We start from the raw sequence: 13,598 nt of genomic DNA, 5'->3' as shown, positions 1-13,598 counted from the left end.
GATGGTCCTGTGGGAAGGAGCAGCATCAGCTCCTCCTCTCTTTCCCTGTCTAAAACTCATATTAGAGCAGTCTCTTAGCTAGTTTTGTCCCTGAAGCTGTTATTCTTTTGACATGTTTCCTGCCTTGTGTTTTTGAGATGTGTGGGGGACACCATTAGGGGATGGAGGTTTCCCCTAATGACATTCATTTTCAGTGCCCTCTGTATTTTTTTTGTTTGTTTTTAATTTTAAAATAAATAGAGATGGGAGCTCACTATGTTGCCTAGGCTGGTCTTGAACTCCTGGATTCAAACGATCCTCCCACCTCAGTCTCCCAAAGTGCTGGGATTATAGGCATGAGCCACTACACCTGGTCCTCTGTATTCATTTAATGAAAAGCTGCAGAGATACTAAGTAAAATCTCAACACTTTGCCTAGAACAGTTCTAGGCTGAAGTGACTTTGGCTATGCAGAAAGGATGCTAAAATCATTTCTTTACAAAGAAACTTGTTGTCATGGTTATATTTCTTTCTGTTTCCATAGCATCAGAAATAAATAAAACCTTAGACTTAAAAACAAAAACTAAAGCCAAGCCTCTTCCTATAGTTTCTTGAAGTCTTTCCTTTGCTGTAAATTTACCAATCTTCATTATGTCATATTTGACTAATTGAATGCTTAGATCTGAGAAGAATATTCCTCATGCCACCCTTAACCTGGAACAAATTATGGCTGTTTTAGACAGATTATTCTGGATTTCTTCAGTGAAAAATTTATCAGTTTTCAGTGTGCATATTTTAAGCTGGGTTTTTTATTTTTTTACTTTTTGAGACAGGGTCTCACTCTGTCACCTAAGCAGAAGTACAGTGGCAAGACCACGGCTCACTGCAGCCTCAACTTTCTGGACTCAAGGAATCCTCACACCTCAGCCTCCTGAGCAGCTGGGACTATAGGTGCATGCCACCACACTGGCTAATTTTTTATAACAATTTTTTTTTTTTTTTTGAGACAGAGTCTCCCTCTGCCACCCAGGCTGGAGTGCAGTGGCACGATCTTGGTCCACTGGAACCTCTGCCTTCTGGATTCAAGCAGTTCTTCTGCCTCAGCCTCCCAAGTAGCTGGGATTACAGGTGCATACCAGCACGCCCGGCTAATTTTTTTATTTTTGGTAGAGACGGGGTTTCACCGTGTTGTCCAGGCTGATCTTGAACTCCTGACCTCATGATCCACCCACCTCGGCTTCCCAAAGTGCTGGGATTACAGGCGTGAGCCACCGCACCCGGCTTTTTATAATAATTTTTTATAGAGATGGGGTCTTGCTATGTTGCCCAGGGTGATCTTGAGCTCCTAGCCTCAAGTGTTCCTCCCAAAGTGCTGGGATTATAGGCATGAGCCAGTGCCTGGCTTAAGTTGGGTTTTAAGTGACTTTTTTTTTTTTGAGACAGTCTTGCTCTGTTGCGCAGGCTGGAGTACCGTGGCATGATCTCTGCTCACTGCAGCCTCTACCTACCAGGCTCAAGTGATTCTCTTCCCTCAGCCTCCTTAGTAGCTGGGATTGTCCTGAGTAGCTGGGATGATAGGCATGCGCCACCACGCCTGGCTAATTTTTGTATTTTCAGTAGAGATGGGGTCTCGCCATGTTGGCCAGGCTGGTCTCAAATTCCTGGCCTCAAGTGACCCACCCGCCTCAGTCTCCCAAAGTGTAGGGATTACAGGCATGAGCCACCATACCTGGCCATAAGTTACATTTTAATGGAATCTGAGCAATAGTCTCTGACCTTAAGGTCTTTTTTAGCCTACTGTTTCTGGGATTCTTCTTCCACGTCTCTCCTTGTTCCCAGGTGATAGGGAAGATATATTTATAAATAAAGGGTAGGAAGGTATCTGTAGTATTGTCTGATTAATAACTGGCTGTTACTGTGTTGGACTGCAGCTAAACTGAGGCTTCCTAAAGAATGGTACATTCATATACCTTTAGTTTATACTTCTTAAGGAACACTAGAAAGTGACTTCACTACATATTTTTTTCCCCAATCCCCAAAGTCCCATATAATAAATGTATGTGCTTTTTTCCTGTTGTTACGTACAAAACAAACAGAGAAAACACAACAATTCTTTCTTTCCAAATGAGAATCTCTTTGGTTTCTTATTAGCCATGTGACTCTCTTGGCTCTCCTTTGCCATGACCATTTGGATCTTTTGGAGTATATAACTTTCTGTGCTTTTCTACTCTTAAAGGAAACTGGTGGTGACAAAAGAGAAAGAGAAGAAAGTGGGGCTGTATACGATCTATGTGAATCCTGCCAATACCCACCAGTTTGCAGTGGGTGGACGAGATCAGTTTGTAAGGTGAGTTTGTGGCTCTTTTGTGTCTTTGACAGTTTGTAAGACTGATGCATTGTATACTACCAGGTGCTCCTTTATGGAGAGTTACGAATTTTATAGGAATCCATTAACTATTATCTTGAATTTTTTACCGTTTTCCAAAAATCTTACACGCCTTTGGAGATGTTCTGTTCTCTAATGTAACAGTCTCTGAGGGGTGACTTTACATATTTTAGAGATTATCAAGTTTTAAAGAAGTTAGATGATGGTCAGGTGTAGTGGCTCACACCTGTAATCTCGACACTTTGGGAGGTGAGGCGGGTGGATCACCTAAGGACAGGAGTTTGGGACCAGCCTGGCCAACATGGCAAAACTCTGTCTCTAAAAAAAAAAATACAAAAATTAGCCAGGCATGGTGGTACATGCGTGTAGTCCCAGCTGCTCAAGAGGCTGAGGCAGGAGGATCACTTGAGCTCAGGAGTCAGAGGTTGCAATGAGCCAAGATTGTGCCACTGCACTCCAGCCTGAATGACAGAGCGAGACTCTGTCTCAAAAAAGAAAAGAAAAGAAGTTAGATGAATTGACCAAGGTCCTCACGTGGCAGCTAAGCCATAAATTTAGGTTTACCAGCAAGTACTATATTAGTAAATAATCTACCTTTTTCGTATGTAAATAAACGTGCACTAGAAATTTTAAATACTGGTTTTCAATTCAGAAATAGTTTGACTTGGGAGCACTTAGTGTGAACTGAGGGTTTTTTGGCTCTCACTGTCCTGAGCTACCACTTTTTTTTATCCATAGTGATATCTTTGTTACCGTGAACACCTTTTGTTAACACTGGCTCTTGAGACATGACCTAAGGAAAACAGACACTGTGGATTCAGTCTCCATATGTATTAGTTAATTTCCTCTGACCCTTAGTAATAAGCTGTATCCATCCCTATCCAGTTGGCCTATTTTAACTATGTTTCTTTGGGCTCATCAGTTTGAAAGGAGAGAGAGGGGCAAGATCACTAGAAAAATGAGTGACTTTTTGCTTTCCTAATGGTAAGTGAAAAGCATCATCTTCCTTTTGAAATGAGAGCACATTTTATAGCTATATTTCCAGATTCATTTTATTAATAAGAATCATGGGGAATAGGGTAAATTTTTAGAAAATACATGAGATGACTTTGCCTTGTTCAAGAATCCTGGACAAAACCTTGTTTCTCTCTTCTTCCCCTATTCCCATGCCTTCAAAATTCGTTTCCTCTAGTCACCAACAGTCCTTAAATGTGTAGCCATAGATTTTTTTTTTTAGACAGAGTTTTACTCTTATTACCCATGCTGGAGTGCAGTGACACAATCTTGGCTCACTGCAACCTCCGCTTCCCGGGTTCAAGCGATTCTCCTGCCTCAGCCTCCCGAGTAGCTGGGATTACAGGTGCACGCCACCACGCCTGGCTAATTTTTTGTATTTTCAGTAGAACCGAGGTCTCACCGTGTTAGCCAGGCTAGTCTCGAACTCCTGACCTCAGGTGATCTGCCCGCCTTGGCCTCCCAAAGTGCTGGGATTGCAGGCATGAGCCACTGTGCCTGGCCAATTTTTTTTATTTTTAAATAAGAAGCTGTTGATCAAAAAGGGTTGTAGTTTGTATAGATTTTCAGTTGCTACCTCCTCCAAGTTGAGCATTCACTGAAATTTTGAGTTGAGAGTTCCTACTTAGAGCTCCAGATTACTTGAAAAGTCTGTGTCTCTAACAAATTCCACCACTAGGACCAAGATGTTTGGAGGGGAATGTAGTAGTTTGCTGTATTGAGAACTGTATTCATATGTATGTATGTATTCATATGTATTCATATGATATGTATATCATATTGCCTTAACCCAAAGCTGATACTTTCCCAGGGTTAGAGTAAGGCTTAGAGTTTTAGCATTTCAACACAAGGAGAAATACTCAAATCTTCTGTGTCTTATCAGCCTCAATATTCCTCTATTGGCTATTTACTGGGCAGAAGTTATGTGAAGATTTTTGTTTTTTTTTTGAGACAGAGTCTCACTTTGTTGCCCAGGCTGGAGTGTAGTGGCTCGATCTCGGCTCACTGCAACCTCTGCCTCCTGGGTTCAAGTGATTCTCATGCCTCAGCCTCCCAAGTAGCTGGGATTACAGGCATGTGCCACTTTGCCTGGCTATTTTTGTATTTTTAGTAGAGATACGGTTTTGCCATGTTGGCCAGGCTGGTCTCGAACTGTCTTCAAGTGATCCACCCACCTCGGCCTCTCAAAGTGCTGGGATTACAGTCGTGAGCCACCGCGCCTGGCTATGTGAAGATTTTGAGGCACGCTGATCCTACACAAGCAGGTAGCCCTTTCAGCACTCCAGCTCTTCTCTGACATTAGGTTACACTCAACTTCTCTGGCACCTCTCCTGTGCAGCCAACTGAATGTTTTGAGGTTTCTCCTTTCTTATTCTTCCTTTGAAAGAACCCAAACAGCTCATCTTCTGGTATAAATTTGAAAACATTTTTGCTGAATATTATATATCATAACATCATTAACTTTCACTCCTAGCCTAAAGGAATTACTTCAAGGGAATATAGAGAAATAGCTTACTGATCCTCAAGGCTTTTGCATCATTAATACTGAATTTTAGTTTAGGGTTATTAAAAAGTATTTAAGGGAAGCTCTGGGGAGACATGCTTTTTGGCCTGTGGCCAAAAAAAAAAAAAAGGTAAGTAGAGGAGGTATAGGTGTGAGTCCCTACTACACCTGCTAAGCTAAGCTAATTCCTGCTTAGCTTAGTTTTAAGAATTTATAGGGGTAAAGAAAAAGAGAATATATCAGGTGAATCCTTTAGTGGTAAATTTGGCTGACATGAAAATTTATTGCTAAAGGATTAAGTATAGGCCCTGATTGATGAAGCACAGTCAGTAAATCATCTCTTCATTCCCCAGTTCTTAAGCCAACATCAGCAACACTGAGAGAACATTAGATTAAAGGCAGGTATAGAAGAGAGACTTAGGGTAACAAGTTAGTGGGTGCCTGAAGGCATGTGGGAAGAGATGTGGTAAAGGTGTGCACACTATTCCTTACGTGACTTAAAATGTCAAGGGGCTTGGTGTGGTGGCTCATGACTATAAAACTAGAGCACTTTGGAAGGCCAAAGCTGGAGGATAGCTTGAGGTCAGAAGTTCAAGGCCAACTTGGGCAATATAGCAAGACTGTGTCTCTACCAAAAAAAAAAAAAATTAAGAAAAAATTTTAATTTTTTAATTAATTAAATATCTCCAGGTGTGGTGGTATGCTCCTGTAGTCCCAACTACTTGGGAGGCAGAGGAGGATCTCTTGAGCCCAGGAGTTTGAGGCTACAGTGAGCTGTGATTACACCACTGCACTCCATCCTGGATGACAGAGTGAGACCCTGTCTCAAAAAAAATAACTAAAAGTAAAATATAAACTATCAAGGGCCTATCATATGTTCAGAAAGTGGTAGGAAAGTTTGTATTAATCTTTCTATGCTTACTGTCTATCACAGGGCTTGACAAACTGTAGTGCTTGTTTTTATAAATAAAGTTTTATTGGAACACAGCCATGGCCTTACTTTACATGTTGTTTATGACCACTTTCATGCTACAATGGCAGAATTCAATAGTTTTAATAGAGATTAGATGGTTTGCCAGTTTACCAGCTTAAAACATTTACTGTCTTGTCCTTTAAGAAAAAGTTTGCCAAACTCCGTTCTAGCATCATATGTAGAATATAGTAAGCTATTAATAAACACTTAGTTGGGGTGTAGTGGCTTATACCTGTAATCCCAGCACTTTGGGAGGCTGAGGCAGGAGAATCTTTTGAGGCCAGGAGTTTGAGACCAAGCTGGGCAGATGCTGTCTCCACCAAAAAATAAAAATATTAGCTCAGCATGGTGGTGTGTGCCTGTAGTCCCAGCTACGCGGCAGGTTGAGGCGGGAGGATCGTGTGAGCTGGGGATGTCAAGGCTTAAGTCATCAGTAACCTAACTGCCAAAGCAAACAAAGTACTTTTCAAGTCTTTTTCTCTACTCTTGACATTATTACTCCTTCCCTGAAGCACCTTCTCTCCTTGATGTCCAACCACTCCTCAGTGTTGTTCATGGGTGTGTCTTCCTTTCTCCACCCATTAAATGCTGATGTTCTCCAGTAGCTCAGTCTTCAGCTCTCATCTTACTCTATACCAGGGAATTTTAACTTGAAGTACAAATATTATGTGAACCTCCAGAAAGTATGCTTATGTGCATTTTTCTGGGGAGAAGGGACTAGAGTTTTCATTATATTCTGAAACAGGCCAGAGATTCTAAAGGGCGAAGGGAAAATCTTCTCTGTATTTTCCCTTGGAGATCTAATTCCATTACCAATGCTTTAACTACCACCTTTCACACGGATATATGACTTACATCTGTGTCTGCAGACCACACTTATTCTGAACTCTAGACTTACACCTACTTAACAAATGGATATAATTAACTGATGACTTCAGCCAGAGAAGTCTCAGTGGTGAGTTGAGAACCAAAACCAGATTAGGATGGACTGAGAAGTGAATAGGAAGTAAGAAAGTGGAAATATTGAATGTTGATTGTTCTTTTCAGTAGTGTAACTGTAAGGGGAAGGAGAAAAAAAGCAATAGTAGGAAAGGACAGTCAGCAGAAGGATTTTTAGAAAGTGGCCAGCTGGTGATGAGGAAGAGGTTGAGAAATTAGATAATCATCAAACAAGGTCCCTGGAAGGATGAAATGAAAAGCATTTTTCAAGAGATTGGCTCTGAGATTGGAGGAGACTGGGTGAGAACAGATACTGGATCTGTCTTGTTCCTCACTGTATTTCTAGCACCTAGCATAATATTTGACACATAATATGTGTGTCCTCATGAGTTTAAAGCTTGGATTAGAGAGAGGAAGGAAGGTGAAGGTGTAGTGTGCTTGATAAGAATGAGGAAAGGAGAGGGAGTCTTGAGGATATGGGTGGTAGTTTTTAATAATTATTGTGGGGTATGAGAGGGAGAACAGGCCAAATACAGTTTTAAGGAGGGATTACAGACCCATTGACTTACATTAAGCATGGTTTCTGCCCGTGAGTAACCTTTTTCGGTAGGTAATGTACATGTAAAAAGCTCCATACTAATGTTAGTTGTTTCAGTGAAAAGTAGCAGTATGTGATATAAAACTTGAGGAGAGAGATAAACCACTTCAAACTGACAGAATTGAGGATTGCCACTTAAAATGGGAAGTATGTGGATAAAGGATTTAAGGGTTTGCCTGGCCAACAGATGAAACTCTGTCTCTACTAAAAATACAAAAATTGGCCGGGCGTGGTGGTGTGTGCCCATAGTCCCAGCTATTTAGGAGGCTGAGGCAAGAGAATTGCTTGAACCCATGAGGCGGAGGTTGCAGTGAGCCGGGGTCATGCCACTGCACTACAGCCTGGGTGACAGAGCAGGACCCCATCTCAAACAAACAAAAGATTTAGGGTTTGGAAATGGATTGGAAAAGGGATGCCCTTTAAGGAAGAGCACAAACCAAAAGCTTGGTTTGGAAAATGTTGTTTATCTGCATCCAGCTGGCAGTTTCCTGCCACTACATCAAATTGCAGCTCTTCAAGGGTTTCGTTTGTACATTTTTACATTTTCATTGCTTTTCCAACTGTAGGATTTATGACCAGAGGAAAATTGATGAGAATGAGAACAATGGAGTACTCAAGAAGTTCTGTCCTCATCACCTGGTAAGATTCATGAAGGGCCAGTTGCTGCAGGCTTCCCTGACTCAACCCCAAGGCTGCACCTGAACTTGTTGGTATGGTGGGAAGAGCTTGGACTTTCAAGTCAGTCATCTGGATTTGAATCCTGGCTTTACCACTTACCAGCTTTGTGATCTTGGCAGTCACTTCACTTCTGATAGCCTCAGTTTTTTAATCGACAAAATAGAAATAAAAATAACTGCCTTGCACCTTGATGGTGAGGCCTAATGAGACAGTGTACATAAAATGGCTAGCACATGGATGACAACCAAAAGAAAGCCCCAAGATGCTACCCCCTGAGGTGGTCATGTTTCATCAGTTGTACTCTTGTCTCTGTCTGTCTTTCTCAAATCTCTGGGAGAAGATATAGGGGAGTTTGAAGGAAAAGCTGTTTCCTGAAGATGGTATAACAAATGGGGGGGTGGGGCATCAGTCAGTATCTGCTCCTTATTGCAGGTGAACAGTGAGTCCAAAGCAAACATCACCTGTCTTGTGTACAGCCACGACGGCACAGGTACGTGAGCAGGGCCCAGCTCCTAGGCTGGCATGCCCCCTCTGTCTAGGGAGCTGCTGAGCCAGTGAGGCATGTGCCCTCCAGTGCTCACCACTGTGCTATAGCTCCAAGTAGAGCAGCTGGGGAGTAACTGCTGATGGTGAGCACATAGCGGGAGGATACAGTAGATGACCCTTGGAGATGCCAGGTACCATTTGCAGAATGCTGCAGATGATATTTGGCAGGGCCTGTCCTGAAGCCCAGGTTGCTTGCCTGAGCAGGTTCTTATGCCTTTGACTCATTCCTGAGTTAATGGGTATGACCTTTTTGAGCATTCTGCTGCCCCTGGGTTGGCAGTGTGTTCTTAGTCTACCCTGTACAGTCGGACTTGCCTGGTGTTCCAAATAAGATGGGTGCTACACCTGGGTATTTGGAGGGGGCACTACTGGCAAGAAGCCCCACCCCAACCCCCACCTCCTGGTCCCTGCTTTTTTCAGCCTTTGCCTTCACTGCTATGTTCTTGTTCTTGGCAGAGCTCCTGGCCAGTTACAATGATGAAGACATTTACCTCTTCAACTCCTCTCACAGTGATGGGGCCCAGTATGTTAAGAGATACAAGGGCCACAGAAATAATGCCACAGGTGAGACTGTCTTCCTAGGTTTCTTTGGCCCAAGCCTGTTGGCTTTGGAGAACCACAGTGTCTTACTCAGGTTATACAAATAGAAACTACCTGCCTGTGTTGCCATGGGCACTGAGGGATTATCCTGAATTGGGCTGGAGTTTTCATGTTTTCTCCGCTATGCTAGAGGAGAAAGCGCTCAAGAGCATCTCTTGCCACTCCAATAATGTTGCTTCTAATTGGTTTGGACATAAGGAGGCTAGACTAACTGTTTTTAAGATTTCAGGCAACTTCAAAAGAAGCACAAATGCCTTGTTAGGGAGTCAGGGAAAGCCCTCTTTAGTCAGTGGTCCTGAATTGCTTAAAATAGGGAGTGACCTTATACCTCTAGGAAGGAGGAGTAAACAATTCTTTTAGATGAGGCAGAAGAGGAGGAATGGTGGTAGTAACTAGCCCAAGATTGGCCTGTTTTGTTCCATGTCTGTGGTTCCCAAACTTTGGGGCACATTGAAATCATCTGATGTGTTTTGTTTTGTGTTTATGAGACAGGATCTCACTCTGTTGTCCAGGCTGGAGTGCAATGGTGCAATTATGGCTCACTGCAGCCTTGACCTCCCAGGCACTGCAGCCTCAACCTCCCGGGCTCAGGTGATCTTCCCACTTCAGCCTCGTGAGTAGCTGGGACTACAGGTGCATGCCTCTACACCTGGCTAATTTTTGTATTTTTTGTGGAGATGGGGTTTCACCATGTTGCCCAAGCTGGTCTCTAACTCCTGGGCTCAAGTGATCCGCCTGCCTCGACTTCCCAAAGTGCTGGGCATGAGCCACCAATCCCAATCCTGGTGTTCTTTTAAAAATAACAGTTTGGCCTTAACCCCATATATTCTGATTTAATAGGGATGGACTGCAACTTGAGCACTGAGATTTTTAAAAACTACCCACATGATTCTAATGTCCAGGAAAGTTGAGGAATCATTTCTCTATTGTTACCACTCCTAGCAGATACCTGTCATGATTTTGTCTTGGAGATAGCAGTTAGAGGTTAGTTTTATTTTTTTTCCTGAGCTGGTAAGAAGGGAGGGAAAAATCTGTTCTTGGATCTCAGTACACAGGCAGATAAAGGAAGGGTGCCAGTCTCATGGCCAATATTGTACTGACCATAGTCATTGGAACTCTTGGCTTCTTTTACTGATTCCGGAGAGTGGAGCCCTGTTAATGGTAGCAAGCACAGATCACTTGCTTCTCGAGGCAGTTGTGGCATATACCTTCATCAGTCTCAGATCAGCTGATGACCCAGAAATATTGACAAGGTACCAATGAAGTCCACATATCAAAGATAATCCTAGGCCATAAGACAGTGCTGCCTAAGAGTAGGCAGAGCTGGGATGATTCAGGGTGGGACAGGTAAGAGATTAGAGAGGCCTGTGGTTACTTGATAGGGTATAAACTTGAGAGACTAAGGCTGCTGCTAAAGGACTGCAGATTCCTCTGCCCTAAGGAGCGAGCTCTTTGGGAGAATATAAATCATCTCTTGGGACTGGTGTGATTCCTATAACTATCTGTTAAACATGCATAATCTAGCTGATTTAGAGTTTGTGAATAACTAAATTCCCTTTGAGATGAATGTATATAGGCCTGATGCCAACCCTCATGTGGTTTCTTCCCTCATTTATCATTTCAGTAAAAGGCGTCAATTTCTATGGCCCCAAGAGTGAGTTTGTGGTGAGCGGTAGTGACTGTGGGCACATCTTCCTCTGGGAGAAATCATCCTGCCAGATTATTCAGTTCATGGAGGGGGACAAGGGAGGCGTGGTGAGTATGGTGTGCTGAGCTGGCTGGCTCCCTAATCTCTCCAGTCATTAAGGTAGGTTTTAGCAGGGACACTGAATTCTCACTGTGACTACATGATACCATGTTTTAGAGGTCCAGCCAGCCATAAAAGACTAGTTAGCCTGGAGGTGCTGAGTTTTTGATGGAGTATTTTCTTCCTGTTCCTATCTTCTGTCCCTGTAAAGCACAGTTTATTGAGACAAGAAAGGGATCTTAGGGAAGAACCTCTGTCCTGTCCTGAGTGATGTAACTTATCTCTAGACGTGCACCTTTTCCAAATGAAAAAGCGTTAGTGTTCAGGGCGTACCCTCCTACACAAGGCTAAAGATTTCTCCATGTCTCTTCCCTTTAAACTAAACTAAGTAGTGATCTTGGCTGGATCTTAGATTAGCAGATAAAAGCTATAAAGAGCATTTTTTGGACAGTTGGGAAAATTAGAATATGGTTTATACATTAGATAACATGGTATTCAATATTAAATTGATTTGATTACTTAGAATATTCTTGTACTTAAGAGATACATGTTGAAGTATTTAGGGGTGAAATGTCATGCGTACATTCAAATAGATAACAAACACATATACATGTGTACATATAAGGAGAACGCAAATGTGGCAATTGTTTTTTAGTAGCTGAGCAGTCTGCTTGCTGTATAACCCATGATCGTATCATAGTCTGCCTGGCCTTTGAGTTCTGCAGCCCTCTGTGGAGTTAGGGCAAAAAGGAAGAGTGAGAATCGAGTTAGGGAATGAAGAGCAATCAGCTCTTAAGATGTATCTGGTTAACCTTATCTTTTTTTTTTTTTTTTTTTTTTTGAGACCTAGAATTAGGAAGGAGTTCAATCGCTTTCTGTTACAAGGTTTTTGGACCACAGGAGATGGGAAAAACACAGTTTGGAAGACTAAATTATACTGATTGCCCAGAATAGTCTGGTTATCCAAGGCCTCTAAGGAATGACTGAGACAGCTAAGTCTCTCTTCCTTTTTATTCCTTCTTAGCTGTGGGGAACTTCAAAGAGCCTAGCCATCTCTTGATGAGGTTTTTTCAGAGAGTGGTTTTAGAATTTAGAATGGTTCTTTGCAATCAGGATCCCATTCCTTATGTTTTTCTTGCCCTGGTGAAAGGGTATTTCAAATTTTCTTCTGGTTTCCTCTAAATTTCAGGGACCTGGGACCTGCATAGATCTAGGGTTTTTATGGTTTGAATACAAATGGAGAGGAGTCTAGAAGTTCAAGGTGTGTCTCACTCTTCCCTGCTTCATTTCCAACTCTTCCATAGGTCCCCCTGTGTCATCTGCAGTGAACAAACCCAAAACACTTGAGTCTTAATGGGAATTATGCAATAGGCATTTAGAGAAAGGAAGTCAGAAGGGGCCAGTGAATTTTTTCTTGACATAAGCTATTGCCTTGCATTCTGTTCCAGAGAGATGCAGGGCTGAATGCCCTCTCCCAGGCCAGCATTTGTCCATTCTCCAAAAGCATTCTGCAGGCCAGTTTGCTTTTAGCTCAGCCAATGCCAGGGTTTGATGATTAACCCATTTGCCCAGGTGAGGAAGGCATCTACTTGGGATGGGTGGGCCCCAGGCCTAAGTTTTAGTGGTCCTAAGAGTAAATGAGTAGAATAAGAGATATAGAGGCTACCCCTGAAGCAAATTTCCTTACATATTCTTGTCTCTGTGTAAGCTGAATGATCGATGTGGTCTTTTACTTGGCTCCCTCTGCTCTGTTTTTTGGTCCTAATTTTCCAGCAGTGGGGGTTACCAGGCACTACTTTCAATGTAGTAGACTCAGCAGTTCTATATCATGCAAATTGTAAATGTAGAGTAGAATGTAATTGTAACGTAGAATGTTAGAACCAAAGATCTTAGAAGTTATTTTCTGCCTTGCCCAGATCTCCTGACTGATTTGAGGATCTTTTCTTTGTTCCCATTCAGCTTCACAGGGACAAGGGTTGGGGGTGGTATCAGAGGACAGCCCCTTAGTCTCCCAAGAGCACTTTGATGCTTGATCCCATTCTCTACATTCCCCCAGCCCAGTCATCTAAGGCCAGAGCTCTTTTCTCTGCTCAGGCATTATTGACAGGATAAGTCCTGGCATTCAGACAGGTCTGGTGAAGTGACCAGGTACTCTGGCCCAGAAGTTCTCTGTCGGCTCCCCCCGCAGGCTCCAATTCAGGTACTGTATGTTATTCTCTTGTTCCTCTTGCCACTGGCTTTTTCCTTAGTCTTAAGTTCCAAGGAATTGTTCCCCTGTGTTTTTTTATTTTCCTGACTTATTCAAGCAGAGCTAGCTCAGAGTACAGGTCTGTAACAAGGGCTTATTAGGAGATAGATGAAAAAGTGCAGGTTTGTATATGTAAGTTGTCCATTACTATAGATAGATACTATTCCAGGCATTGGACTTTAACTGCACTGCCTAAAAGAGCCCAAAGATAAACTTCACAATAGGCTGATATGTGGAATGGGAGGAGGAGATAAAGAACGGGGTTTCTGTTTTATTCATAAGCTCAGTCTTAGCTTCAGTCTTTTCTGAGCATTTGTTTATTTGTAAGATGGAAGTCAAAGTAAGTGGGAAGTCTGTAGGTCAGCTCTATTTTCCATGCCTGCCCTT

At 42.6% G+C, this 13,598-nt stretch overlaps 1 protein-coding gene across 3 annotated transcripts in view; it reads left to right on the top strand.

Annotated features, from left to right (window-relative positions):
* DCAF8 (DDB1 and CUL4 associated factor 8) overlaps positions 1-13,598 on the top strand; it is a 46,830-nt gene that overhangs the window by 28,928 nt on the left and 4,304 nt on the right. For all 3 annotated transcript variants that reach the window (NR_028104.2, NR_028103.2, NM_015726.4), the window contains 5 exons: positions 2,215-2,325; positions 7,959-8,031; positions 8,503-8,560; positions 9,073-9,180; positions 10,841-10,971. Coding sequence is in view for 1 of the 3 variants with exons in the window: in NM_015726.4 (NP_056541.2) it covers positions 2,215-2,325; positions 7,959-8,031; positions 8,503-8,560; positions 9,073-9,180; positions 10,841-10,971 (481 nt within the window). In the remaining 2 variants the exon portion in view is untranslated. The remainder of the gene's footprint in view (positions 1-2,214; positions 2,326-7,958; positions 8,032-8,502; positions 8,561-9,072; positions 9,181-10,840; positions 10,972-13,598) is intronic.

This window comes from Homo sapiens, chromosome 1, assembly GCF_000001405.40.
Source record: "Homo sapiens chromosome 1, GRCh38.p14 Primary Assembly".
Taxonomy (NCBI): Eukaryota; Metazoa; Chordata; class Mammalia; order Primates; family Hominidae; genus Homo; species Homo sapiens.
This window is presented reverse-complemented; position numbering and strand designations above follow the sequence as displayed.